The sequence below is a fragment of the Homo sapiens genome, chromosome Y (assembly GCF_000001405.40).
Source record: "Homo sapiens chromosome Y, GRCh38.p14 Primary Assembly".
Taxonomy (NCBI): domain Eukaryota; kingdom Metazoa; phylum Chordata; class Mammalia; order Primates; family Hominidae; genus Homo; species Homo sapiens.
The window spans coordinates 2,218,808-2,245,285 of record NC_000024.10 but is presented as its reverse complement, the minus strand read 5'-3'; the positions used below and the strand labels follow the sequence as shown (position 1 = coordinate 2,245,285).

At 48.2% G+C, this 26,478-nt stretch overlaps 1 protein-coding gene across 1 annotated transcript in view; it reads left to right on the top strand.

Moving 5' to 3' along the window:
* The window catches only part of DHRSX (dehydrogenase/reductase X-linked), a 281,471-nt gene extending 255,691 nt beyond the window's left edge, over positions 1 to 25,780 (top strand). Inside the window, exons 6-7 of the mRNA NM_145177.3 lie at positions 2,056 to 2,263; positions 24,057 to 25,780. Of these exons, the coding sequence (NP_660160.2) occupies positions 2,056 to 2,263; positions 24,057 to 24,245 (397 nt within the window). The 3' untranslated portion in view covers positions 24,246 to 25,780. The remainder of the gene's footprint in view (positions 1 to 2,055; positions 2,264 to 24,056) is intronic.
* The last annotated feature ends 698 nt before the right edge of the window (positions 25,781 to 26,478 follow it).

Below are 26,478 nucleotides of genomic sequence, written 5' to 3'. Positions count from 1 at the left end.
TGGAAGCAGGGAGGGGGCTTCCAGCTCACAGGTAGGTGAGACACAGATGGTTACATTCTTTTGGGTTTGTGATGAGCCTTCCCAAAGGAGGTGATCAGATATGCATCTATCTCAGTGAGCACAGGGGTGACTTTGAACAGAGTGGGAGGCAGGTTTGCCTTCAGCAGGTTCCAGCTGGACTTTTCCTTTGAGCTTCCCGCTTTTGGGGTGCCCAGATATTTTCTGTTCACAGCTTCCATCAGGATACATATACCATGTGGTTAATTCAGAAAATTAGGCCGGGCACAGTGGCTCATGCCTGTAATCCCAGCACTTTGGGAGGCCGAGGTGGGCAGATCACGTGGTCAGGAGATCGAGACCATCCTAGCTAACATGGTGAAACCTCGTCTCTACTAAAAATACAAAAAATTAGCCAGGCAGGTGGCAGGCGCCTATAGTCCCAGCTACTTGGGAGGCTGAGGCAGGAGAATGACTTGAACCCGAGAGGAGGAGCTTGCAGTGAGCCGAGATCACGCCACTGTACTCCAGCTGGGTTGACAGAGCAAGACTCTGTCTCAAAAATAAATAAATAAAAATAAAATTTAAAAATATATATATATATAAAAGAAGCAAGCGATATGAACCTTCAGCCACCTTGAAATGTTGTTACGATAATTGTGTAGCAAATTGATCGCCTCTGGGCATCTTTGGAGCCCCAGAGGAAAGAAAAACATTATTGCTCAAATACTTCTCCTTGTCTTATTGAAAAGAACTATGAGGCCAATTCTAAGGCTAATGATCTGTGCCTAGCATTAAATTCTAAAAGGAGTCTATGGTGGTTGTGTGCCTTCAAGGGACGTTATGTAACACCGCAAATAACATCTCTTTAAAAAGTGTTTCTAAGGCATACATAGAAAAAGTAGAACATATTTACAGGAGCAAAGCTGGAAACATCCAGTTTTCTGTGTTTCTGGTGATTGAGGTTACCAGAGAGAGAGAGAGAGGCACGTTACTCACTTTACCGCGGTTATCGGATCGATTTTTATCACTATGTCCTGTGATACTAAAACATTTCTCTAAACTGCTTGAACCAAGGTGCAAAGAGTTTAACATGTGCTTAGCACACTACAGAGCTTGCAGTAGATGTGAGGAAAATTTATGATAGCTTGGGAAGTTTGCCAAATTGCTTGTGTGGTTGTCTTTTATGATTTGAGACTCATCAAGAAGACCACATGTGGCCAGGCGCGGTGGCTCATGCCTGTCATCCCAGCACTTTGGGAGGCCAAGGAGGGTGGATCACCCGAGGTCAGGAGTTCAAGACCAGCCTGGCCAACATGGTGAAACCCTGTTCCCACTAAAAATACAAAAAATTAGCCGGGCGTGGTGACAGGAGCCTGTAATCCCAGCTACTCTGGAGGCTGAGGCACGAGATTCGCTTGAACCCGGGAGGCTGCAGCCTGGGTGACAGAGTGAGAATCTGTCTCAAAAAAAAAAAAAAAAAAAAAAAAAAAAAAAAAACAGGGAGCATAGTGGCTCCTGCCTGTAATCCCAGCACTTTGGGAGGCTGAAGCGGGTGGATAATTTGAGGTCAGGAGTTCGAGAGCAGCCTGGCCAACATGGTAAAACTTCCATCTTTGCTGAAAATACAAAAAATTAGCAGGGTGTGGTGGCGGGCACCTGTAGTCCCAGCTACTGGGGAGGCTGAGGTAGGAGAATCACTTGAACCGGGCAGGTGGAGGTTGCAGTGAGCCAAGATTGCACCACTGCACTCCAGCCTGGGCGACAGAGGGGGGACTCTGTCTCCAAAATAAATAAATAAATAAATAAAAAATTAGTAACATAATTTAACATATCTGACCCCAATACAATTAAGGGATGAGTTTATAATAAAAAGGTGAACTAGAAAAATCCACACGCGTTGGAAAACTGGCCAACAGATGGCATGATCACACATGGGTCTAGGGGAGGTGGCTGCGTATAGACGTGGCCGTGGCCGCAGGTACAGATGCTGCTGGGATGAAGCACTTAGGCGTGAACGCCGTCAGCCTCTTACACCTTCTCCTGCTTGCCCCACAGTGCCTGCTACTCACCCCACGCAGCCTACGCCCAGAGCAAGCTGGCCCTTGTCCTGTTCACCTACCACCTCCAGCGGCTGCTGGCGGCTGAGGGAAGCCACGTGACCGCCAACGTGGTGGACCCCGGGGTGGTCAACACGGACGTCTACAAGCACGTGTTCTGGGCCACCCGTCTGGCGAAGAAGCTTCTCGGCTGGTTGCTTTTCAAGGTAAGCCCCTTCTGCTTCTCTGATTCACGGCTGCACCTGAAGATGCTACAGGAAAGGGGGTCCCCAGTCCAGACCCCAAGGGAGGGTTCTTGGATCTCGTGCAAGAAAGAATTCAGGACGGCTCAGTGGTGGAAAGAGAAGCAAGTTATTGAGAAGGTAGAGGAGTAAATGAATGGCTCCTCCGCAGACAAAGCATCCCCGGCGGCCGCTGGTTGGCCATTTTTACGGTGATTTCTTGATGATATGCTAAACGAGGGGGGGATTATTCATGCCTCCCCTTTTTAGACCGTAGAGGGTAACTTCCTGACATTGCCGTGGCATTTGTAACTGTCCTGGCGCTGGTGGGAATGTAGCCGTCACGACAGCCGGAGGTCACTCTTGTCGCCATTTTGCTTTTTGTGGGTTTTGGCCCGCTTCTTTACTGCAAGCTGTTGTATCAGCAAGGTTTTTATGACCTGTACCTTGTAGCAACCTCTTATCTCATCCTGCGACTTAGCATACCTTAACCGCCTGGGAATGCAGCCCAGCAGGTCTCAGCCTCGTGTTACCCAGCCCCTATTCAAGATGGAGTCACGCTGGTTCACACAGCTCTGACACAACCACTTCCAGGCTGCGTGTGCGGTGTTGGGGGCTTGGATTCCGTGATGTATTTGTACATTCTCACCCCAAAGCCTTGGTTGTGTGCGAGCTCGGTGGGTGACGCTGTGTAGCTAGGTAGTGCCCATAAATGAATCTTCTTAGGAGCTGGAGACCGTTTGGGGATGCTGTGGTAGGGGCCAAGGGAAAAACATCCCCCTTTGCCATTTGAAGGTTTGCTGAAAAATCAACGCACAAAATACAATTGCCCTTTTTGAAACATGAATAAAGGAAATGACAGGCAAATGTATTCTCATCCATGGAGGAGAATGTCAGAGGAATTGCCCCATTACACAAAGGGGTACAGACGCTTGTGTCCTCTTCTTCTTAGCGGAAGGGGAGTGGGGAATTGGGGGTGAATATAGGATTCCAAATAGTAAATGATTTTAAAGAGAAGTCAATGGGTTTGAACAATGTACAGTGGCCCGAAAACAGATAATGTTTTTTGTTATTGTTGTTTGTTTGCTTGTTTTTTTTGAGACGGAGTTTCGTTCTGTGTTGCCCAGAGTGGAGTGCAGTGGCGGGACCTCTGCCCAGTGCAACCTCTGCCTCCTGGGTTCAAGCGATTCTCCTGCCTCAGCTTCCCGAGTAGCTGGGATTACAGGCATGTGACACCACGCCTGGCTAATTTTGTATTTTTAGTAGAGACGGGGTTTCATCACGCTGACCAGGCTGGTCACGAACTCTGGACCTCAGGTGATCCACCCGCCTCGGGCTCCCAAAGTGCTGGGATGATAGGTGTGAGCCACTGCGCCTGGCCTCAGATAATGGTTTATGACGAGTCTCTGCAGGGACAGAGGCTGTGGAACCCTCAGAACAGACAGTGGTTTATGAGGAGTCTCTGCAGGGCTGTTGACAGACATCAGTCTTTCCTCCGCGATGTGGGTTCAGAAACTCAGGGAAGGGGACACTGGTCATTTTTCCTTCTTTGACATGTCCAGACTTCAGGAAACTTCAGAGAACAACTTCATCCTGTGCATCGGGAGACACAGAGGAAGCAGGAGGGGGAAGTTAGAGAGATCTTGAGGCTTCTTCAGTTCAGCAGGACAAAGCACCGTACTTTGGGGTGTTGGTTTTTAAGACCCAGCAGCTGAAAGCTCCCACATTTCTGCAATGATCTTCGTTGTCGTGATGCATTAACTTCTTAAGCACTGCAAGATTTCATGCCCCAGCCATTCCCTTGGGTTTTTTTGTTTGTTTGTTTGAGATGGAGTCTAGCTCTATCACCAGGCTGGAGTGCCGTGGTGTGATCTCGGCTCGCTGCAGCCTCTGCCTCCCGGGTTCAAGTGATTCTCCTGCCTCAGCCTCCTGAGTAGCTGGGATTGCAGGTGTGCGCCACCATGCCCGGCTAGTTTTTGTATTTTTAGTAAAGACAGGGTTTCACCATGTTGGCCAAGCTGGTCTCGAACTCCTGACCTACCTCAAGTAATCTGCCCGCCTCGGTCTCCCGAAGTGCTGGGATACAGTAGTGAGCCACCGTGCCTGTCCTCCTTGAGGTCTTTTGAAGTGATATGTATCTGGGAGCTATAGATTTACTTTCTTTCCTATCTATCTCAAGTCGGGATACTAAAGTTTTAATAATTTGTTTACAAAACAAAGAAAGAACCTTGAGAAGCTTTTCTATTTCTCCCTTTACATTGCAGAATCGTCTAATTAGCATTTTTAAAAGTGTCTGCTTTTGAAACACCGCCACGATTCACCTTCAAAACCGCATGGGTTGAGGAATTTTCGGAAGAGCGATTCTAACTCAGCTTTCAAAATTCCTTGGGCGTCTACTGCTTGTTGAAGTTTCCCACCTCTTTCTGAGTCAGTTTAGACAGCTTTTCCCTTTAGGTAATTGTCTGTTTCATCAAGCTTTGGAATTAATGAGCTTGGTTACAAATTCTCTTTTCTCCCTGTTGGACTCCTGGCATTGCTCTTGATTTCGTCTGAAAGTCTCTCATGATATGAGCTGCCCGCCCCCAATGTGGACTTTTTGAGGGGATTAATTACTTCCCTTATTTTGCAGTTTGCTTTCTTATCAGTTGTTCTTCGAATCTCTCATTCCTCAAGCAAAGGAATTTCTTTTTTTCTTTTTCTTTTTCTTTTTTTTTTTGAGATAGAGTCTCGCTCTGTCACCAGGCTGCAGTGCACTGGCGCGATCTCAGCTCACTGCAACCTCCGCCTCCTGGGTTCAAGTGATTCTCCTGCCTCAGCCTCCTGAGTAGCTGGGACTGCAGGCACCTGCCATCAAGCCTGGCTAAGTGTTGTGTTTTTAGTAGGGACGGGGTTTCATTATGTTGCCCAGGCTGGTCTCGAACTCCTGACTTCGGGTGATCCGCCCACCTCGGCCTTCCTAAGTGATGGGATTACAGGCGTGAGCCACCGCGCCCAGCTGTACATCCCTTATTTTGCAGTTTGCTTTCTGATCTGTTGTTCTTCACATCTCTAATTCCTCAAGCAAAGGAATTTCAAAATATTAGTTATTTTATTAAGCACTAAGTATTCGCTAGCAATACACCAACACTAGGATACATTTCATCCTTATAAAACCCCCATGAATCCCTCAGAGAGTGACTTCAGTATCCAAGGAGAGCATTTGCTGTTTTTTTATTTTATTTAATTTATTTATTTTTTTTGAGACTGAGTCTTGCTCTGTTGCCCAGGCTGGAGTGCGTTGGCGCGATCTCAGCTCACTGCAAGCTCCGCCTCCCAGGTTCATGCCGTTCTCCTGCCTCAGCCTCCCGAGTAAATGGGACCACAGGTGCCCGCCACCACGTCTGGCTAATTTTTTTTTTATTTTTTATTTTTTTTTAGTAGAGACGGGGTTTCACCATGTTGGCCAGGATGGTCTTGATCTCCTGACCTCGTGATCCACCTGCCTCGGCCTCTCAAAGTGTTGGGATTACAGGCGTGAGCCACCACGCCCGGCCTCTTTTAAATTTTTTAGAGACCAGGTCTTGCTCTGTCACCCTGGCTGCTGTGCATTTTTTTTTTTTTTTGTAGAAACGGCATCTTGCTGTTCGCCCAGGTTGGTCTTGTGCGCTGGAATTATGACACAATCACTGGCTGCAACCTTGAAATCCTGGCCTCAAGTGATTCTCCCACCTCTGCCTCCCAAAGTGCTGGGATGACAGGCATGAGCCACCATGGCTGGCCTTGACATTATTTCTTTCTAAATATTTAACAAGCAAACTGCAACTTTAGCCACATGAATCATTCTTTAATCCTTTGATCATCATCTGCAAATTTGGATTAAAAATAACCACGGGGCATTGCTCGAGTGATACTGCCTTTATATAAGAGACAACATTGTGGAAACTTTAAAATTATAGAGCAGAAGAATATGCATTAGCCTGGAAATGAAATTAAAATAATGTAAGAATTTTAAAGAAAAGGCTATACAGCTGCAGTAGCTTGATGCTGTCTTTGTAATGATAATTCTGTATTGCTGTGTATGTATTATTTACTAGTGTGTATGCATGCATGCATGCATGCATTGTATATTAAGACTTGGAAGATCAGCTGGGTGCCGTGTCTCATGCCTGTAATCCCAGCACTTTGGGAGGCCAAGGTGAGTGGATTACTTGAGGTCAGGAGTTCGAGACCAGACTGTCAAACATGGTGAAACACCATCTCTATTAAAAAAAAAAAAAATTAGCCGAGTGTGGTGGCGCGTGTGTGTCATTCCAGCTACTCGGGAGGCTGAGGCAGGGGAATCGCTTGAACCTGGGAGGCGGAGGTTGCAGTAAGCCGAGATGGCGCCATTGCACTCCAGCCTGGGTGAAAAGAGTGAAACTCCGTCTCAAAAAAAAAAAAAAGAAAGAAGAAAAACCTTGCAGGATCTGTCCAGGGTCCCTGGGGAGAATCTGTGTGACATACATATCTCTGTGATGTTTCATATCATCTGAGGGCATGGTTGTATGTCACTCTGAAACCTCTATCCTCTGTCTCATCAGAACACATGGACTCGATTCCAAATTCACGGCCAGTAACCTGGGCGACCAGTCGGTACCAGAAGAAAAACTAGGAGGTTGATTGGTTTGTTTTTGAGATGGGGTCTCGCCCTGTCACCCAGGCTGGAGTGCAGTGGTACAATCACAGCTCACAGCAGCCTCGACCTGCTGGACTGAAACGATCACCCCACCTCCACCTCCCGAGTAGCTGGGACTACACGAATGCACCAGCATGCCTGGCTAATTTTTTAAAATTTTTTGGTAGAGCCGAGGTCTTGCTATGTTGTCCAGCCGGGTCTCCAGTTCCTAGCCCCAAGCGATCCTCCTGCTGTGGCCTCCCAAAGTGTTGGGATTATGATTTGTGCATTTATAAAGATGAGAGGTTTGATTTGTCCTGTATACAAATGCATCAGGCCATTCTTCATGCTGAGACATGCAGATGGTCTCAGCCTCCGTAGGAGAGTAGCTTAGTATTTCAGAGGGCATGTGTGCTCTTCAGACCTCTAGGAAGCTCCTCGCAGCTTCATCAGTGAAACTCAGTACCCCCTACAATGTATACCCCTCCTAGGGAGCAAATGAACGTGGCTATTACCTCTCTTCCCACCCCAGTTGTCTCAAGATCAATGGGTGTTACAAAAAAGAGCTATCGGCTGGGAGTGGTGGCTCATGCCTGTAATCCCAACACTTTGGGAGGCTGAGGGGGAGGATCATGTGAGGTTAGGAGTTCAAGACCAGCCTAACCAACATGGAGAAACCCAGTCTCTACTAAAAATACAGAAATTAGCCAGGCGTGGTGGCAGTCACCTGTAATCCCAGCTACTCAGGAGGCTGAGGCAGGAGAATCGCTTGAACCCGGGGGCGGAAATTGTGGTGAGCCCAGATCATGCCACTGCACTCCAGCCTGGACGACAAGAGCGAAACTCCATCTCAAAAAAAAAAAAAAATAGAAAGCTATTGTAAATGCTGAGTGTATCAGCTCCACCATTCAGGGCTCATGTCCAGCAAGTCCTGACCACTTTGAAATCATGTGATCAGGCCTGCCATCAAAATGAACAAATTTGCAGTGTAGACTGCGCCCACTTCACCATGAAGTAGACCACTCGTATCATTGCTTGTCTTAAGCATGTATTTGTATCCGCCATGCAGTCTAATGAAAGTCTGTCTTAGGGTTGATTGGAACTTGGATTGATGTGCCGAGAGGGTGACAGGTTAATTAATCAAATCAAGGATGCAGGTACTGGGAATTTTTTTATTTTTATTTTTTTTAAGATGGAACCTCTCTCTGTTGCCCAGGCTGGAGTGCAGTGGTGCGATCTCGGCTCACTGCAACCTCCGCCTCCTGGGTTCAAGCAATTCGGCCTCATCCTCCTGGGTAGCTGGGACCTCAGCTACCTCCCAGCACGCCTGGCTAATTTTTACATTTTCAGTAGAGACGGGGTTTCGATATGTTACTCAGGCTGATCTCGAACTCACAGTCTCGAGTGAGCCGCCTGCCTCGGCCTGCCGAAGTGCTGGGATTACAGGCATGAGACACCCTACCCAGCCCCCCCATTTCTTTTTTTTTTTTTATTAATAAACAAATCTAACCACCCTCTCTGGACCTTCTATTTCCCCTGGGGACTGTCCCTGACTACAGTCTCCGCTGCAGCAAATCCCCATACAGGAATTGCTCATACAATTCACTTCCAGTCCCCCATGCTCCACTGAAAATGCTCCAGGTGGCCGGGCGCAGTGGCTCACACCTGTCATCCCAGCACTTTGGGAGGCTGAGGCGGGTGGATCACATGAGGCCAGGAGTTCGAGACCAGCCTGGCCAACGTGGTGAAACCCCGTCTCTACTAAAAATACAGAAATTAGCCAGGCATGGTGGCGGACGCCTGTAATCCCAGCTACTCGGGAGGCTGAGGCAGGAGAATCGCTTGAACCCGGGAGCAGGAGGTTGCAGTGAGCCGAGATCGCGCCACTGCACTCCAGCCTGGGTGACAAGAGTGAAACTCCATCTCAAAAAAAGAAAAAATAAGAAGAAATTGCTCCAGGTAGAGCCACCAGGGACTTCACCCTTTCCCTGCAATGTGCAGGCCTCAGCCCTGGCTGTTTCCTCCTCCACGCACGCCCTTCCCCCAGGTATCCAATCCCTCTCCTTCCCTTCATTCAGGCCTGCGCCAAAACCTCCGAAGACAGGGCTTCTCCTGGGCGCTTGCTTTCCCCTCACAAAGCTTTGTTTGTCTTTATGGGTCATCTCACCAATTGGCTTATGTATTTATCGATTCACTTATTTATTATAAATTTAAGGAGTACAGGTGCGGATTTATTTATTTTATTTATTTATTTTTTTTCTTTGAGACGGAGTCTCACCCTGTCACCCAGGCTGGAGTACAATGGCGCGATCTCAGCTCACTGCAACCCCTGCGTCCCAGGTTCAAGCGATTCTCCTGCCTCAGCCTCCCGAGTAGCTGGGATTATAGGCATGTCCCACCACACCCAGCTAATTTTTATATTTTTAATAGAGATGGGGTTTCACCATGTTGGCCGGGATGGTCTTGATCTCTTGACCTCGTGATCCGCCCGCCTCGGTCTCCCAAAGTGCTGGGATGACAGGTGTGAGCCACCGCACCCGTCCTGGCTTATGTATTTATTGATTTGCTTATTTATTATAAATTTAAAGAGTACAGGTGCGGATTTCTTTTTTTGTTCCCTTTTTTTTTTTTTTTTCCCCTGAGATGCTCTGTTGCCCAGGCTGGAGTGTAGTGGCATGATTTTGGCTCACTGCAACACCTGCCTCCCGGGTTCAAGCCATTCTCCTGCCTCAGCCTCCCGAGTAGCTGGGATTATAGGCATGTCTCACCACACCCAGCTAATTTTTATATTTTTAATAGAGGTGGGGTTTCACCATGTTGGCCGGGATGGTCTTGATCTCTTGACCTTGTGATCCGCCGGCCTCGGCCTCCCAGAGTGCTGGGATGACAGGTGTGAGCCACCGTACCCAGCCCGGCTTATGTATTTATTGATTCACTTATTTATTATAAATTTAAGGAGTACAGGTGCGGATTTCTTGCATGGAGACATTGCACAGCGGTGAAGTCCCGGCTTCTAGTGAACCCCTCACCCCAGCTGTGAATACTATACCTGTAGGTGATTTTTTTCATCCTCCACCTCCTGCCAACCTCCCACCTTTCAGGGTCCTCATCGTCAATCCACCCTCTGTGTCTGTGTAGACCCACTGGTGAACTCCCACTTGCAAGTGAGAACATGGCAGGATCAGTGTTTGACTTTCAGTATCTGAGTTGTTTGTTAGGAGAACGGCCTGCTTTTCAAACTGAAGCTCTGTTTCCATTAAAATACAACTTCCAATTTCCCTGCTGTTCCTAGCTCCTAGCAACACCATTCTGCCTTCTGTCTTGATGAATCTGATGACTCTAGGGACCTTAGAAAGTGGAAACAGGCTGGGCATGGTGGATCATGCCTGTAATCCCAGCACTTTGGGAGGCTGAGGCGGGTGGATCACCTGAGGTCATGAGTTCAAGACCAGCCTGACCAATATGGTGAAACCCCGTCTCTACTAAAAATACAAAAATTAGCTCAGCATGGTGGCACACGCCTGTAGTCCCAGCTACTCGGGAAGCTGAGGCAGGAGAATCGCTTGAACATGGGAGGTAGAGACTGCAGTAAGCCGGGATCGTGCCACTGCACTCCAGCCTGGGCAACAGAGTGAGACTCCGTCTCAAAAAATAAAAAGTAAAATAATAAAATAAAAAGTGGAAACGTGCAGTGTTTGTCCATGTCACTGCAAAAGACATGATTTCATTCTTTGATATGACTGCATAATATTCCATGGTGTGTATATACTATACTGTACTTTCTTTATATTAGCCAGTCCTCTGCTGACAGACACTTAGGTTGATTGCATATCTTTGCTGTTCTGAATACTACTGCAAAAAACCTAAAACAGCTGTGTGCGTGGATCAGGGCTCTGTGCCTGGAAGGCAGGGAAGGAGGTACTGAATGTGTGTGTGTGGGTCTAGCTGTGTGCATGGATCTGGGCTGTGTGCATGGATCAGGGCTGTGTGCATGGATGAAGGCAGGGAGGGAAATATTGAATGCATGTGCATGGATCAGGGCTGTGTGCATGGGTGAAGGCAGGGAGGGAGATATTGAATGCACATGCATGGAGCCAGCTGTGTGCGTGGATCAGGGCTGTGTGCATGGATGCAGGCAGGGAGGCAGCTGCAGAATGCATGTGTATGGAGCCAGCTGTGTGCATGGATCAGGGCTGTGTGCATGGGTGAAGGCAGGGAGGGAGATATTGAATGCATGTGCATGGATCCAGCTGTGTGCATGGATCAGGGCTCATGATAGCAAAGCAGAGAAAGAAGGGAGATGACGAGGGAGGGGTCCCTGGAAGAATCAGGCAGTGGCTATTTCCTGCAACAGCTCCCTTCTCCTCTCCTTCCCTGCTATGCCTCTCATTTTTCTAATTTGTTAATTCTGGATAATAATATCACATAAGAGTGTTGTGAACATTGCCGACAGAATATATGGGAAACCATTTTCTCCACTGTAAAGCTCTGTGTAATTATGTAATTATGAGCCATTCATTCCTCTCTCTGACTATATTGCTTGTGGCTCTATTTAGTACACTTGAAACTCTATCTTCTATTTTGTGTGTGTTTCATCTTTTTTTTTTCCTGCACTTGTGCCTCACCATCCACCCACTGCCCATGTCTATTGGAAGCTCCTGGGCAGCAGGGGTTATTTCTGAAATTCTCTTCCTTTGCCCCAAGAGCTGGCAAAATACGGGTGAGCATTTAATAAACATTCATTGGACTGAATGAAGTTGAAATGGTTTCTGTAGCTTGCAGCTCCAACACTCTCCAGGACTCAAGAGTGGCTTGATGCAGATTTTACCATAAATGGTGCTGCACCGTCTCCCCAGCGCCCCCCAGCCGGGCGTCTGGAACTTCAAAGATGCTCTTGTGTCTGTTAAAAGGGAACACACTGCGTTCTTGGATTTGGGTTCACATTTATACATCTTCTGTCCTCTTGCCAGTCTCTAAAGATTGTCATTTAAAAAAAAAAAAAAGCTGTAGATAAAACAGGATGTGTTATTTAAGCCACAGGGAGCATGATTTACAGGACCGTCTTGTGTATTCAGAAGACAACTTTCATTTCCCTGCACAAGGCGTCACCAAGCAAGCCCACTTCATCATTCCGAGAATGTGTGGAAGACAGCGTCTGTCAGCCACAGCTGCACAGCGGCAGATAATGAAATTCTGCCGCGAAGCCACAGTTCCTTGCTCTACACAGGAGGTCGGCCAGATAGGAAGTGTCTTAGTCTTCGTGGGCCACCTCTAGTCTCTTTGGCATATTTCTTTCTTTCTTTCTTTCTTTCTTTTTCTTAACAACACTTTAAGAGTATAAAACCATTCTTAGCTAGTAGCCTGTACAGAAACAGGTACAGGCTGAATTTTGCCCATGGTGTATAGTTTGCAGAGCTGCATAAGAAGCTAGAATGAGTGAGGTTCCCAGCGTGGTCTCTGAGACCAGCAGCCTCTGGGAGCTCGTTAGAAATGCAGATTCTTGGGTCGGGCACGATGGCTCATGCCTGTAATCTCAGCACTTTTGGAGGCTGACATGGGCGAATCATGAGGTCAGGAGTTCGAGACCAGCCTGGCCAACATGGTGAAATCCTGTCTCTACTAAAAATACAAAAAATTAGCTGGATGTAGTGGCAGGCACCTGTAATCCCAGCTACTCGGGAGGCTGAGGCAGGAGAATTGCTTGAACTTGGGAGGCGGAGGTTGCAGTGAGCCAAGATCATGCCACTGCACTCCAGCCCTGGCATCTCAAATAAATAAATAAATAATAAAAAATAAAAAAAAATGCTGATTCTTGGGCCTCCTAAGATCCACTGAGTTAGAAATACCAGGGGTGCAGTTGTTTTTACAAGCTCTCTGGCCCATTCTCTTGAGTGCTAAGCGTGAGGACCCCAGACCCCAGGACTGCAGGGGATTGAGCCCCAGCTTTGGGGCTGTGGACAAAAGAAGATAGTTCTCGGTAATTCCATATGAATGCTCTATATGAATCCTAAAGGAAGTTCTGTTGCTTTAGTTGTTGTTGTTTTCAAAACAAGTGGATACAAGTTCATTCAGGAATCCCCCAGCCTCACACAAGTGAACAAGAGTGATTTCGATTCAGAGGAAGACTTTTAGAAACAGAAGGGTGTAGTGTGAAGGTTGTCTAGTTTTTTTTTAGGAAAAGCTGGATTATACTGTAAATTGATAATAGAGGGGGCAGAGAGAGAGGAGGAGAAAGAGGAAGGGGAAGAGGAGGAAGGGAAGGGAGAGAGAGAAAAAGGAAGATGAGGAAAAGGAGAAAAAATAAAAGGAGGAAGACAGAGGGATAGAAAGAGAAAAAGGAGGAGAAGGAAGAAGGAGGAGAAGATGAAGGAGGAGGAAAAAGGGAGGAATAGAGAAAAGGAAAGAAGGGCAGAAAGAAAAGAGAAGGAGGAGAGAAGAGGAAGAGAAAGATAGAGGAAAAGAAGAAGATAAGAGAAAGAGGAGGAGGAGGAAGAAGTTGGAGAAGATGGAGGAGGAAGAAGAGGGAGAAAATGAGAAAGAGGAGAAAGAAAGGAAGAGGAAGGGAGAGAGAGGGATAGAGAGAAAAACAGGAGGAGGATAAGGCAGAAAGGAGGAAGAGGACGAGGTGGAGGAGGAAGAAGAGAAGATGGAGGAGAAAAAAAGAGGAATAGAGAGTGAAAAGGCAAGAAGAGAAAAGAGGAGAAAGAAAAAAAGAAGAAAAGGCAGAGAGAGAAGAGAAAGGGAGAAAGAGATGGGAAAGGAGAATAAGGGAAAAAAGAAAAAGGAGGATACGATGGAGGAGGAAGAAGAGAGAAAAAGGAAGAGGAAGGGATAGAAGAATAGGAGGAGGATAAGGGGGAAAGAGAAGGAGAAGGAAGAAATGAAAGAGGAGGAGGATAAGATGGGGGAGGAAGAGAAAGAGGAATAGAGAGAGAAAAAGAGAAAAAGGAAGAGGAAGCAAAGGAGGAAGGAGAAGGGTGTGAGAGAGAGGGAGGGAAAGAGGGAGGTTCTCTCAGGCTCAGAGGTGATGCCACCCAGATCAGTTTGAGGTACACATTGGAAATGCCACAGAAGTTACAGAACTGGGAAGGGCCGTTTTGTCCAAGGAGATGCCATCTCTCCTTTCCACAGGGTATGTCTGTGATGGACTCTCTGGTGGCTCTAACAGACTCCCCAGGAACAAAGACATCATAGGCTCTGAGGCTGCCACCCTAAAAAGAAGTGTCCTCTTTGGATGGGAAACTTCTTCCCTTGAGTGGATAAATGCCCTCCTTTGGTTTAGCCTTAAAAGCCAGCCAGCAGTCTCTGTGCTTTTGATTGAAGGTCTCTGTGCGAGACCTTCCAGTGACTCAAGCTAAGAGATGAGCCAAGATCATTCCTGGAGCCCGGCATTTCTTCCTGGTTTCAGAATGCCCAGACTCTCTGCCATTGAGACCGTTCAATTTTGTATTAGTCGCAGTTCTCAAGAAAAACAGGACCAATAGGATCTATGCATAGAGAAAGATTTAGTTTAATTGACTCTTGGGATTGTAGGGGCGGGCAAGTCCAAAATTGGTAGGCTGGCTGGCAGGCTGGAGACCTGGCCAAGATTTGACATTGCAGCCTTGAGCCTAAAATCTGCAGGGCAGGCTGGACACTCAGGCAGGATTGCCCTGTCACAGTCTGGAGTGGAATTCCTTTTCTAGTAAGTGTCAGTGTTTGCTGTGAAGGCCTTCTCCTGATGAGGTGAGGCCCACCCACATTGTGAAGCGTCCTCTCCTTCGCTTAAATGCAACTGATTTGTAAATGTTAATGATATCCACAAACTACCCAGTCTGGTGCTTGACCAAATGTCTGGGCACCATAGCCCAGCCAATTGATACGTGAACTCAATCATCACAGAGCCCACTTAAGACCTGTGTTACCTGACATTAAACAGCACAAGCCATCTCCTCTCTGTTGTCTGTCAGGTGAGTGTTTATTCCTGGTAAGAGCAGGTTTGTGTGTGTGTCTTACGAGATTGTAGTTAAAGGAAGGTTTTCTTAATCCTCTCTGCTTCAGGTGGTCACTGAGGCCATGAAACATCCCTAGAAGTTTAGCACAACCCACAGCTCTCATTGGGGAGTTGAGAGCACGTGTGTGCACGTACACATGTGCACACTCATGCACACATACATGCACACATGTACAAATACACACATATAGATGCAAACACATGCGCGCACCTGCACCCCTCCCACACATGCATAGTATGTGCACACATGCTCACGTGCATAAATGCACACACACCTTCACATGCATAGACACACATGCACATATACACGTGCAAACCCATGCACACAGACATGCGTATATCCACACATCTGTGCCCACATGCATGTGTGCACATATGCATGAGCAAACACACATGCACACATTTATGCAAATGTATATTCCTATCGACACATGCACATATTCACATGTGCATTCATGCACATGCATGTACGTACATGTACTCACACATATCCATATACATACAGACATGCACATACACTCATACAATACACATCCCTCAAGTACACATTCACATGCATGCATACATATACACATGTGCAAACACACGCAGGCCCATACCCGCACATCTGCGCCCCCACACACATGCATGCACATATATTTATCCAAACACATGCATGAATACACACACGTACCCATTAACGTGTGCATTCATGCACGTGCACATACATATACATATACATACAGACATGCACATACAATCATACAATACACATCTACCCACAAGTACACACACATCCACATAAATGCGTACCTATGCATATCTGTGCACACACACACATGCACACATTATGTCACCCTATGATTTGCGTGTGAGTCAGCATCCCAGAAAACATCCAGCCCCGAAACCTATTTTCCAGAACATTCCAGAAGGAGCAAGCAGCAGGTACAGAGAGGCAAGAGGCAGGGGACATCGTGGCAGAAGCAGCAGGATCCCTGGGTGGCTGGAGCAGAGGTATGGAGAGGAAGTGTTGCCTTTGTAGAATGTTCAGAACATTCTTCCAGGAAGGCAGCTGAGCCTGGGCAGAAGTCTCTGAATTTCTCTTTGACCACAGCATTACTCCGTCCCCTCTTCCACAACTTTGGGGCGTGGAAACTCTCCTTGGGAAGCTCAGCTAGGAGTCTCTTTACTTGCCAGCCACTTCCCTGAGTGTGAGTTTCTGCCCTAAGATGTGGACGGTGCTAAAATAAATACATGTGCCCTCAGATCTCTCTCAGCACAACTCAAGGATCTACTAACAGCGTCTGCATTCAAATAGCAACATTTCCAGAAGGCGAACGAGCCTCTGCGTGCCTTGCAGAGAGCTGAGCGTTTGCCGCCCAAGCCCTGCTAGCCTCCTCCCTAGGAGACATCCCGGGTGATGCCATTCCTGCTGCCCTCTGCTCCTGGCAGTGGAGCGTTAGGTAGTTTCCTTGCAGACAGCACAGGGGATCCGTCCCAAGGACAAAGGGAAGCCCTGTGTGTGTCTCTTCTGCAAAGCCCAGCATGTCTAATACAAGTTAAGTGTGGAGTTCAGAGGGAACAGCTTTCTGAAGCTCTTTGAAGAGTCACAGGCAAATATCTCTGTGTGCCCTGGGTGCTATCTGGAGAACAGGAGCTCTAACAAAAAGGAAATCGTGGTTTGAATGACACAAAAGGGATTTGCTATTTCAAATTCACAATATCTGCCTTATCTTAGAAATCAGAATTCTCAGAGTCACCACAGATATTTGGTCAAATAGGGGCAGAACCAGAATTGGTAAATGCAGCAAAGGCTCTGAGGAATAAATTCCTCCCTCCCTTCCTTCCTCTTATCTTCTCTTTTTTCCTCCAGTCCTTCCTTTTGCCTCCCTTTTTTCCTTCCTTCCTCCCTTCCTTCCTTCCTTCCTCCCTCCCTCCCTCCCTCCCTCCCTTCCCTCCCTCCCTCCCTCCCTTCCTTCCTCCCTCCCTCCCTCCCTCCCTTCCTCCCTCCCTCCCTTCATTCCTCCCTCCCTCCCTCCCTTCCTTCCTCCCTCCCTCCCTCCCTTCCTCCCTCCCTCCCTCCCTCCCTTCCTCCCTCCCTCCCTTCCTCCCTCCCTCCCTCCCTTCCCTCCCTCCCTCCCTCCCTTCCTCCCTCCCTCTCTCCCTCCCTCTCTCCCTCCCTCTCTCCCTCCCTCCCTCCCTCCCTTCCCCCCTTCCCCCCTCCCTCCCTCCCTTCCCCCCTCCCTCCCTCCCTCCCTCCCTTCCCTCCCTCCCTCCCTCCCTTCCCTCCCTCCCTCCCTTCCTCCCTCCTTCCCTCCCTCCCTTCCCCTCTCCCTTCCTCCCTCCCTCCCTCCCTCCCTTCCCCCCTTCCTCCCTCCCTCCCTCCCTCCCTCCCTCCCTTCCCTCCCTCCCTCCCTCCCTTCCCTCCCTCCCTCCCTCCCTTCCCTCCCTCCCTCCCTTCCTCCCTCCCTCCCTTCCTCCCTCCCTCCCTTCCCTCCCTCCCTCCCTCCCTCCCTCCCTCCCTCTCTCCCTCCCTCCCTCCCTCCCTCTCTCCCTCCCTCTCTCCCTCCCTCTCTCCCTCCCTCCCTCCCTCCCTTCCCTCCCTCCCTTCCCCCCTCCCTTCCCCCCTCCCTCCCTCCCTTCCTTCCTCCTTCCCATCCTTCCCTCCCTCCCTCCCTCCCATCCTTCCTTCTCTTTGGTTCTTTGTTTCTCTTCTTTTTTTTTCTTTCTGTCTCTTTTCCTTCCTTCCTCCTTTCCTTCTTTGCTTCCTGCCTCCCTTCCTTCTTTGCTTCCTTCCTGTTTTTTTTTCTTTTTTCATCCTTCCCTTCCTCCCTTCTTCCCTCCTTTCTCCCTTTTTTCTTCCTCCCTCCTTTCTTCTCTGCTTCCTTTCTCTCTCCTTCCTTCCCTCTTTTCTGTCTTGTTCTCTGCTTCCTTCCTTTCTTACTGCCTCCCTCCCTCTCTCTCTGTGTCACTCCTTCCTTCCCTCCCATTATGCTTCCTTCTTTCCTTCCTTAATTCCTTTCTCTATTTCCTCCTTTCTTCTTCCTCTTTTTCTTTCTCCTTCTCTTTCTTCCTTCCATTGATTTTTTTTGTTTCTCTGTCTTTCTCCTTCCCTTTCACTCAACCCTTCACTGACCTTTGAATACCCAAAACAAAGGTGCTTTGACCCAGGCCATAGCTGATGACACTGAGTTGTTCCCAGCAGGTGCAGGATTCTGTGCAGACACGTCTGTCCCCTCCCTTCCTGCCCGGTTCTCAGCACTGCCTGGCATGTACAGATGTGGGTGCAGGGCTGGCTGGGGTGCAGGTGCAGGGTGCTCCAGCTGCACCTTCCGGAAAGACATTTCATGGAGTTAGGAGGAAAAGGGGCTGCCTCCGGAGGGAAAACTGAGGTATTCATTGTCAGCAGGAGGAAGGCTGACTCGAACCCTTCTTATTCTGCAGCAGCTCTGAGACAGGTCCCAGAGCTTCCCCTCTAACAAAAGCGACTCTGAGAACGATGAGTTGCTTTGCTGTTTTCCCTACCTGTCACATTCTCTGTGCTGCCCTAACACGAGAAACCGTGCCCATGGTCTGGGTGTTTTCTTTTTTTTCTTTCTTTTTTTTTTGAGATGGCATCTCGCTCTGTCGCCCAGGCTGGAGTGCAGTGGCGCCATCTCGGCTCACTGCAAGCCCCGCCTCCCGGGTTCACGCCATTCTCCTGCCTCCCGAGTAGCTGGGACTACAGGCGCTCGCCACCATGCCCGGCTAATTTTTTGTGTTTTTTAGTAGAGACGGGGTTTCACTGTGTTAGCCAGGATGGTCTTGATCTCCTGACCTCGCGATCCGCCTGCCTCGGCCTCCCAAAGTGCTGGGGTGACAGGCGTGAGCTACCGCGCCTGTGTTTTCTTTGGGGAAAAAGATCACAAAGGGCTGGGCCAGTCCAAGGTCTGCTTTGCAGAACGTGGCATTAGAGAGACAAATGCTGGCAGGAACCCTTGGTGTTCTTGAACAGTCCCATGAACACAGAGGGCTCTGTTTGCAATAGAGCTGTGGGGCAGACTGAATGAGCCAGGTAACCAACAGGAGATTGAAATGACTTGGGAGGGGAACTCGAGTAATTGCTCATGCTCCTGAAGTCTCTCCCCTCCCTGACTCTTGAGGTAGCAGGTAAGTGTGGGTATAATTGCCTGTTTCCTGGAAAAGAGGCTTTCTTGACATATGCACACAGCAGCCTGCGCCAATCCCAGTCAGGAGAGAAGTCACCTGGGCTTGGTCTCCATCTGCCGGGGTTGCCAGCCTGACGTCCCATAGACTGGGCAGCTTAGACAACAGACACTGATTTTCCCACCGTCCTGGAGGCTGGAAGTCCAAGATGAAGGTGTGGGCTGGGCGGGCTCCTCCCGAGGCCTCTCTCCTTGGGTTGTAGATGCTGTCTTCTCACTGTGTCCTCACAGGGTCGTCCCTCTGTGCATGTCTGTTTTCTCCTCATCTCCTCTTCTTATGAGCTGTCTCAGTCCATTTCAGGCTGCTATCACAGAATACCATAGACTGGGTGGCTTATAAACAACAGACGTTGACTCTCCCACAGTCCTGGAGGCTGGAAGTCTGACATCAAGGTGTGGGCAGGGCTGGTTCCTCCTGAGGTCTCTCTCCTGGGCTTGGAGACGCCGTCTTTTCCCTGTGTCCTCACAGGGTTGTCCCTCTGTGTGTGTCTGTGTCCTCATCTCCTTTTCTTATGACATGTCTTAGTCCAGTTCTGGCTGCTGTCACAGAATACCATAGACTGGGTGGCTTAGAAACGACATACATTGATTCTCCCACAGTCCTGGAGGCTGGAGGTCTAAGATCAAGGTGTGGGCAGGGCTGGTTCCTCCTGAGGCCTCTCTCCTTGGTTTCATATTTTGCAATATTAGGATAAATAATCTGTGCATGTGTATGAGTGTGTGCATGCAAATGAATATATAAGCATGTTTGCATGTGTATAAGTATGCATGTGAATGAGTATGTGAATGTACACGTGGATGAGCATGTGTGCATGTGAATGAGTGTGAGCATGTGTGCATGTGTATGTGCGTACTTGTGAATGAGGGTGCGTGCATGTGTATGTGTGCATGTGAATGTGTGTACATGTGAAAGTGCATGTGTGTGAGCTGTGTGCATGTGAATGAGTGTGAGCATGTGTGACTGCATGTGAATGTGTGTACATGTGAATGTGCATGCAAATGTGTGCATGTGTGAGCTGTGTGCGTGTGTGAGTGCATGTGAATGTGTGTACATGTGAATGAGTGCATGTGAATGAGTGTGTGCATGTGTGTGAGCTGTGTGCATGTGAATGAGTGAGCATGTGAGTGCATGTGAATATGTAAATGTGAATGCATGTGTGAATGTGAGCTGTGTGCATGTGAATGAGTGTGAGCATGTGTGTGTGCATGTGAATTAGTGTGCATGTGAATGTGAGCATGTGTGTGAGCTGTGTACATGTGAATGAGTGCATGTGAATGTGTGTGTACGTGTGTGTGTGCGAGTGTGAGCATGTGTGCGTGTGAGCTGTGTGCATGCGAATTTGTGTGCATGTGAATGAGTATATGTGAGCATGTGTTCATGTGAGTTTGTGTACATGTAAATGAGCATGTGTGCATGTGAATGAGTGTGAGTATGCATGTGCAAGTAAGTGTGCATGTGTGTGTGCGTATGCATGAGTATGTGTGTGTCCATATGTGTATATATATTTGTGTGCATGTGAGTACATACGAATGTATGTGTGCATGTCAGCATGTAAGTGACCATGCGCACATGAATATGTGTGTGCGTGTGTTTTTCTTACAGAAAAAAAATCATCCAATAGAACTTCATCACGTCGTCATCTCTGTGTCCCCAGAAATACCTACATTTTCAGCACAATGCGCTTGCTGTCTTCTAGAAATCACAAGCTCATTTTCAACATAGCACAGGTGGTATCTTGCCCCCTAAAACGGTAGTACTTGTGTCGCAATTGAATATGCATAGCCCAAGAACTCTTACTCAGATAAGAGGATTTTTCAAAATATGGTAGAAACAGAAGCCCCCAGACACTGCCCACAGGGGAACCACAAAGAGGAAGCCTCCTTCCAGAGAGTGCTGAGTTTGTTCAACAATAGGGACGATGCAGGAGAACCCAGGAGCGGCCTAAGCTGCAGCTGCAGAACACAGGGGCCTCTCCGGGTGGAGGCATCATACTACATGGTCAAGACACAGGTCGGGTATTTGGGGCATGAGCCCCTGAATCCTCAGTGTCAATGATGGCAGACAACAACACAAAACTTGTTCCAGGAGCTGATTTAAGGATTTGTTTGCAAAGAAGGCACAGCACTAAATATAACACAGTGTGGGTGAACATCTCAGGCACCAGCGTGAGGTGTAAATGCTCATTTCTGCGCAGCAGGAACCATGGTCTCTCCTGGGGACCCAGGGTGGCCCCCATCTGGCCTCTCTGATCACTTTGTCCAGAGCAGCAGTGTGGGAAGGGGCACCATGTTGGATTCACAGCTGCAGTGCTTGGTGTCCCTGCCTTTTATATGGAAGTGGGCTGGGCCCCAGAAAGACTCCGTATTTTCCAGCTACAAGATGATGGAGAAGGAAGAAGAATGCCGGCTTTGGGAGCAGATCCTGCCTGGAAATTGGGCAGAACACAGCCGCAAAAGAGAGAAGCATGAAACAGATCAATAAAACCTCTTTCTGCGTTGAAGGCTGCCCCAGAGAAAGACCCTCAAACACCATGGGTGCCTTCACTTGGCCCCTGCCTTCCCTCTCCCTTTCCTCCTGCTCTGTTCTGTCCTTCCTCCCTTCCTCTTTCCATCCCTTTCGCCTTTACTTTTGGTCTTTAGATGCCCAGGGCAAGACACGGGACACAGGGCTCCCCTGCAAGAGCCAAGCCATGGCGCCTGCATCCGCCCCCGAGATGTTTTCAGATACAGTCTCTCTATTAGTCTGTTCTCATGCTGCTAATAAAGACATGCCCAAGACTGGGTGATTTATAGAGGAAAGAGGCTTAATGGACTCAGTTCCATGTGGCTGGGGAGGCCTGACAATCATGGCGGAAGGTGAAGGAGGAGCAAAGGCATGTCTTACATGGCAGCAGGCAAGAGAGTGTGTGCAGGGGAGCGGCCTTTTATAAAACCATCAGATGTCATGGGACTTATTCATTATCATGAGAACAGCACGAGAAAGATCTCCCATGATTCAATTACCTCCCACTGGCTCCCTCCCTTGACACATGGGAATTATGGGAGCTACAGTTCAAGATGAAATTTGGGTGGGGACACAGCCAAACCGTATCAGCCTCCAAATCTCCCAGGACACTTTGGGTTTGCAAGATCTCTGGGCACCCCTAGGTGATTTCCAGACTTGGGAAGTTCTCTAGCTCCATCCATTTCTTTTTAGGCAGCAGAAGAGCAGAGGCAAGTCAGTGGGAAACAATCTCAGGAGTCTGGCAGCTCTGTTCCTCTACTGGGGTCCAGCCTTCCTGTTCCCCTTGCTCGGCACCCAGAGGATGGGCTGGTGGGCACACTGGATTGTCTACCATGCCTTTCCACGTCACACTGGCTGCTGAAGTCAAGACCAGGAGGCAGTGAACTGACAGCAGCAGAATTTCTGAAGTGACTGGGTGTCACAGGCCACCCCACAGAGTCCACCCTTTTCCTTTTTGGAGGGTGTGTGCCTGAACTCTCACCAGTGCTAGGTTTTGCCATGTGGCCCACACTCATCTTGAACTCCTGGACTCAAGCAGTCCTCCTGCCTTGTTCTCCCAAAGCACTGGGATTACAGGCCTGAGCCACTGCAGTGCTAGGGGCACTGGTGAGAGGTGAAATCAGTTCGGGCAAATGGATCATCACTCCCAGAAGACTAGAGGGGACATAACAAAGGCAATATCTGGTCTTTATTCCTGGTTCTGTAACAAGGAGGAGCTTCTAAAACTCTCGCAATTTCACAAATGCTAGCAATTCCCTGGTTGTATAATGAGGTGATATTTGCTGTTTCCTAAATGGCTTCAAGATGGGGCTGGCCACCAGAAACACCAACCATGTCATTAGGAGGTTGGAATTTCAGGCCAGCCTGACCTCTGGGGAGGAAAGAGGAACTGGAGGTTGAATCTGATTATGTGGCCAATGACTTAATCATACCTATGCAATGAGACCCCAGTAAAAACTCTGGACATCAAATGTCTTAGTCTGTTTGTGTTGCTATCACAAAACAACATAGGCTGGGCAACCGGTAAACATTTGTTGCTCACAGTTCTGGAGGCTGGAAGTTCAAGATCAATGCATGGCAGATTCTGTGTCTGGAAGGGACCTGCTTTCTGGTTCACAGACGGTGCCTCATTACTGTGTCCCCACATGGTGGATACGTTCACCAGATTCCCAGAAGCTTATTACAAGAGACAACTTCTGAAACATCTTCATTGTGACAGAAGTTAAGATGCACTGTGTTGGTTCCTGGATTATTGCATCCTAGCTCTGAAGGTTCTCAGGTCCCACAACTTCTAATTCCTCTGAGAATCCTACATTTCTTCCATCCCACTGACCATGACCAAGGGCCAACTCCCACTGCAGAAAACCAGGGTGTGCTGTGTTTCAAGATTATCGCCTTCCACTAGGGTAAAATCCCCAGTCTTTGAAAAACCTTTTTCTGCATCTCAAGTTCCTTTTTGAAACGTCTGTTTCCATGAAACATACGATCACAGCTCATAAATGCCTCAATTCTCCGATGTAGCATGCCTTGCTGAATTGAAAACAAGAATCTTTTTGATGTCCTGATGTTTCATCTAATTGCTAAATATTGTTTATTAAATACAGAAGCCAAGCACTCACTCATCTGCTTCTAGTCAATTAATAAGCATTTCGGTCCCATAAAGAGTGCGTGATTAAATACGTACATCAGGGATTTTAATATGCATCTGCCTAGTGAGATGGATTAACCCACCACTGAAATGCAACCCACTTGGGTACGTTATTGTCAGTGCCTGTTGTAAAGAAACCCAACAGCAGAAAAGCTGTGGTTCAGATTGATCACCCAACCTCGCTTTTTGCATACATTTCTCAGTGCAGCTGATGAGTATATTCCACCTGTCCCTGCAGCATCCATGTGAGTCCTGAGACTCCTGTTTCCTGCTCAGAAATTTGACTCATCGTAGCCTTCTTTTCTTCTTCCACCAGACCCCCGATGAAGGAGCGTGGACTTCCATCTACGCAGCAGTCACCCCAGAGCTGGAAGGAGTTGGTGGCCATTACCTATACAACGAGAAAGAGACCAAGTCCCTCCACGTCACCTACAACCAGAAACTGCAGCAGCAGCTGTGGTCTAAGAGTTGTGAGATGACTGGGGTCCTTGATGTGACCCTGTGATATCCTGTCTCAGGATAGCTGCTGCCCCAAGAAACACATTGCACCTGCCAATAGCTTGTGGGTCTGTGAAGACTGCGGTGTTTGAGTTTCTCACACCCACCTGCCCACAGGGCTCTGTCCTCTAGTTTTGAGACAGCTGCCTCAACCTCTGCAGAACTTCAAGAAGCCAAATAAACATTTTGGAGGATAATCACCCCAAGTGGTCTTCAACCATAAACTTTGTGATTCCAAAGTGCCCAGTTGTCACAGGTGCCATAAATAATTACATTTTCCAACATAAATGTGCCATTTTCCTTGCCGCGTTAATACAACTGAGTACAAAAGTTCCAAGAGAGATGCTCTCTTTTCAGGGGCTGCAATGTCCTCTCTGAGACCTAGTGGTGGATGAGGTCTCCTGTTTGATTTTGTTCCTGCACTCACTCATTTTTCCAGAGACCCAGCTGTGATTCACAGGTGTCAGACATGGGGAGGTGTGAGCCTTGCTTGCTACAGCCTGTAGGATGAGTTTGACGTGGCCAGCAGCACCATCTGGTCAACCTCATTCCAGAATGGCACAGTCACAAGTGAAGCATGCCACTGTCAAATCCGAGAATGTAAACCGCTGAACAGCTATGGATCAAATGGTAGCCCTCAAAAGATATGTTCATGCCCTAACCCTCAGAACCTATAAATATTACTTTATTTGGAAAAGAATCTTTGCAGATAGAATTAAGAATTTTGAGATGGGTCATTATGGATCATCCCAGTGAACCTAATGCCATCACGAGGGTTCTTATCAGAGACAGGTAGAGGGAGATTTGAGTACAGAAGACAAGATATTCGTGTGATGATGCAGACAGAGACTGGAGTGATGCCACCACAAGCCAAGCAATGCCTGGAGCCACCAGGAGCTGGGACAGGCAGGAAGGATTCTCCCTTATACCCCTCAGAGCAATCTTGGCCCCTCTGACGTCTTGACTTTAGACTTCTGGTCCCCAGAACGGAGAGAGAATAAATCTTTCTTGTTTTAAGGCTCCAACAAATTGGTAGTCACTTGTTACAGCAACCACAGGAAATGTATACAGCTTCTGATACTTCTGAAAACCTCACACAGCCAAAGGGTACATCCTTGGTATAGAGGCTCACTCTTACTCACCAGCCAGGCAAGGAAGGCTCAATCCTTTGGTGTTAGAGAGATAGATGTTGGGTTTTCAAATTTCAACATAGAGAAATCAGTCATTTGCAATGCTTTTGAGAAAGTACTGTGTATACCCTACGAGCCTGCACTCCTTATGTGTGAGACTGATGACCATTGGTTGGCTTATTATCCATTCCACTAAGTGACAAAATCCCACTGACTATTCAAATCCAGGCTCCTGGCATGCCTGTACCTTAGAATCACAACCAGCTGCAATTCCAGGATGGAGTTCAAACTAATTGTGGGGGCATGTGCTTCTTACATGACTGCTAGATTGTTCCCAGATGGGGAAGGTTGCCCTGATAAGCAACTTAAATGAAAATAATAAATGTATTGTTTGGCCTCTTTAAAAAAAAAATCATTCATCCTCCGGGAATGGGTTTGTCACCACAGATGGTGATTTTCCTTGGTAGATAACCAGGATGCCTGGATTTCTGTTGTTCCTTTACAGAAAACCAGGAATTTTATGTCATGGACCCACTAGACAGGGGACCTTCCTTGGTACAAAAGGATAAGAAATGTGGATTTGTTCCCTGGGATATTCACGTTAGATGCTTACTACATCATCGGTGTAAGGTCAGCCGAGAGAGAGGATGAGGAGACCTAAAGTCAGGCAAGCAAACTTTACTGAGCTGCTTGGCTGCTCCACCACAGTTAGTGGAGGCAGCCCCACTTACAGACTATAGCAGGGTTTTATAGGGCCAGAACCAGGTCGGGGTGGGGGAGCTGAGTCGAGGGTGCAGGAGGATTGGGTTGGGGTGGGGGAGCTGAGTAGGGGGTGCAAGTGTCTTGACCGCATCCTGGAGATGTTTTTCACCAGCTTTGTTATGCAAGGTTCACAGACATGCTAACCACATCCTGTAACTGTCTGGACAAACAGTTACTGGAGGGGTCAGTGAAGGCGGGGGGCGTTTGTCTTTAGCCCTGGGGGAGCTGTGTGGAGAGTGCAAGGGACTGTATTGTAAGGCCTGTGGAAGGGGAAGGGAACGGTCTGGTTGGGGTGACCCTAACAATCGGTATGCTTCTGTTTCGGGCAGAGCTCAGACCTCAATACCC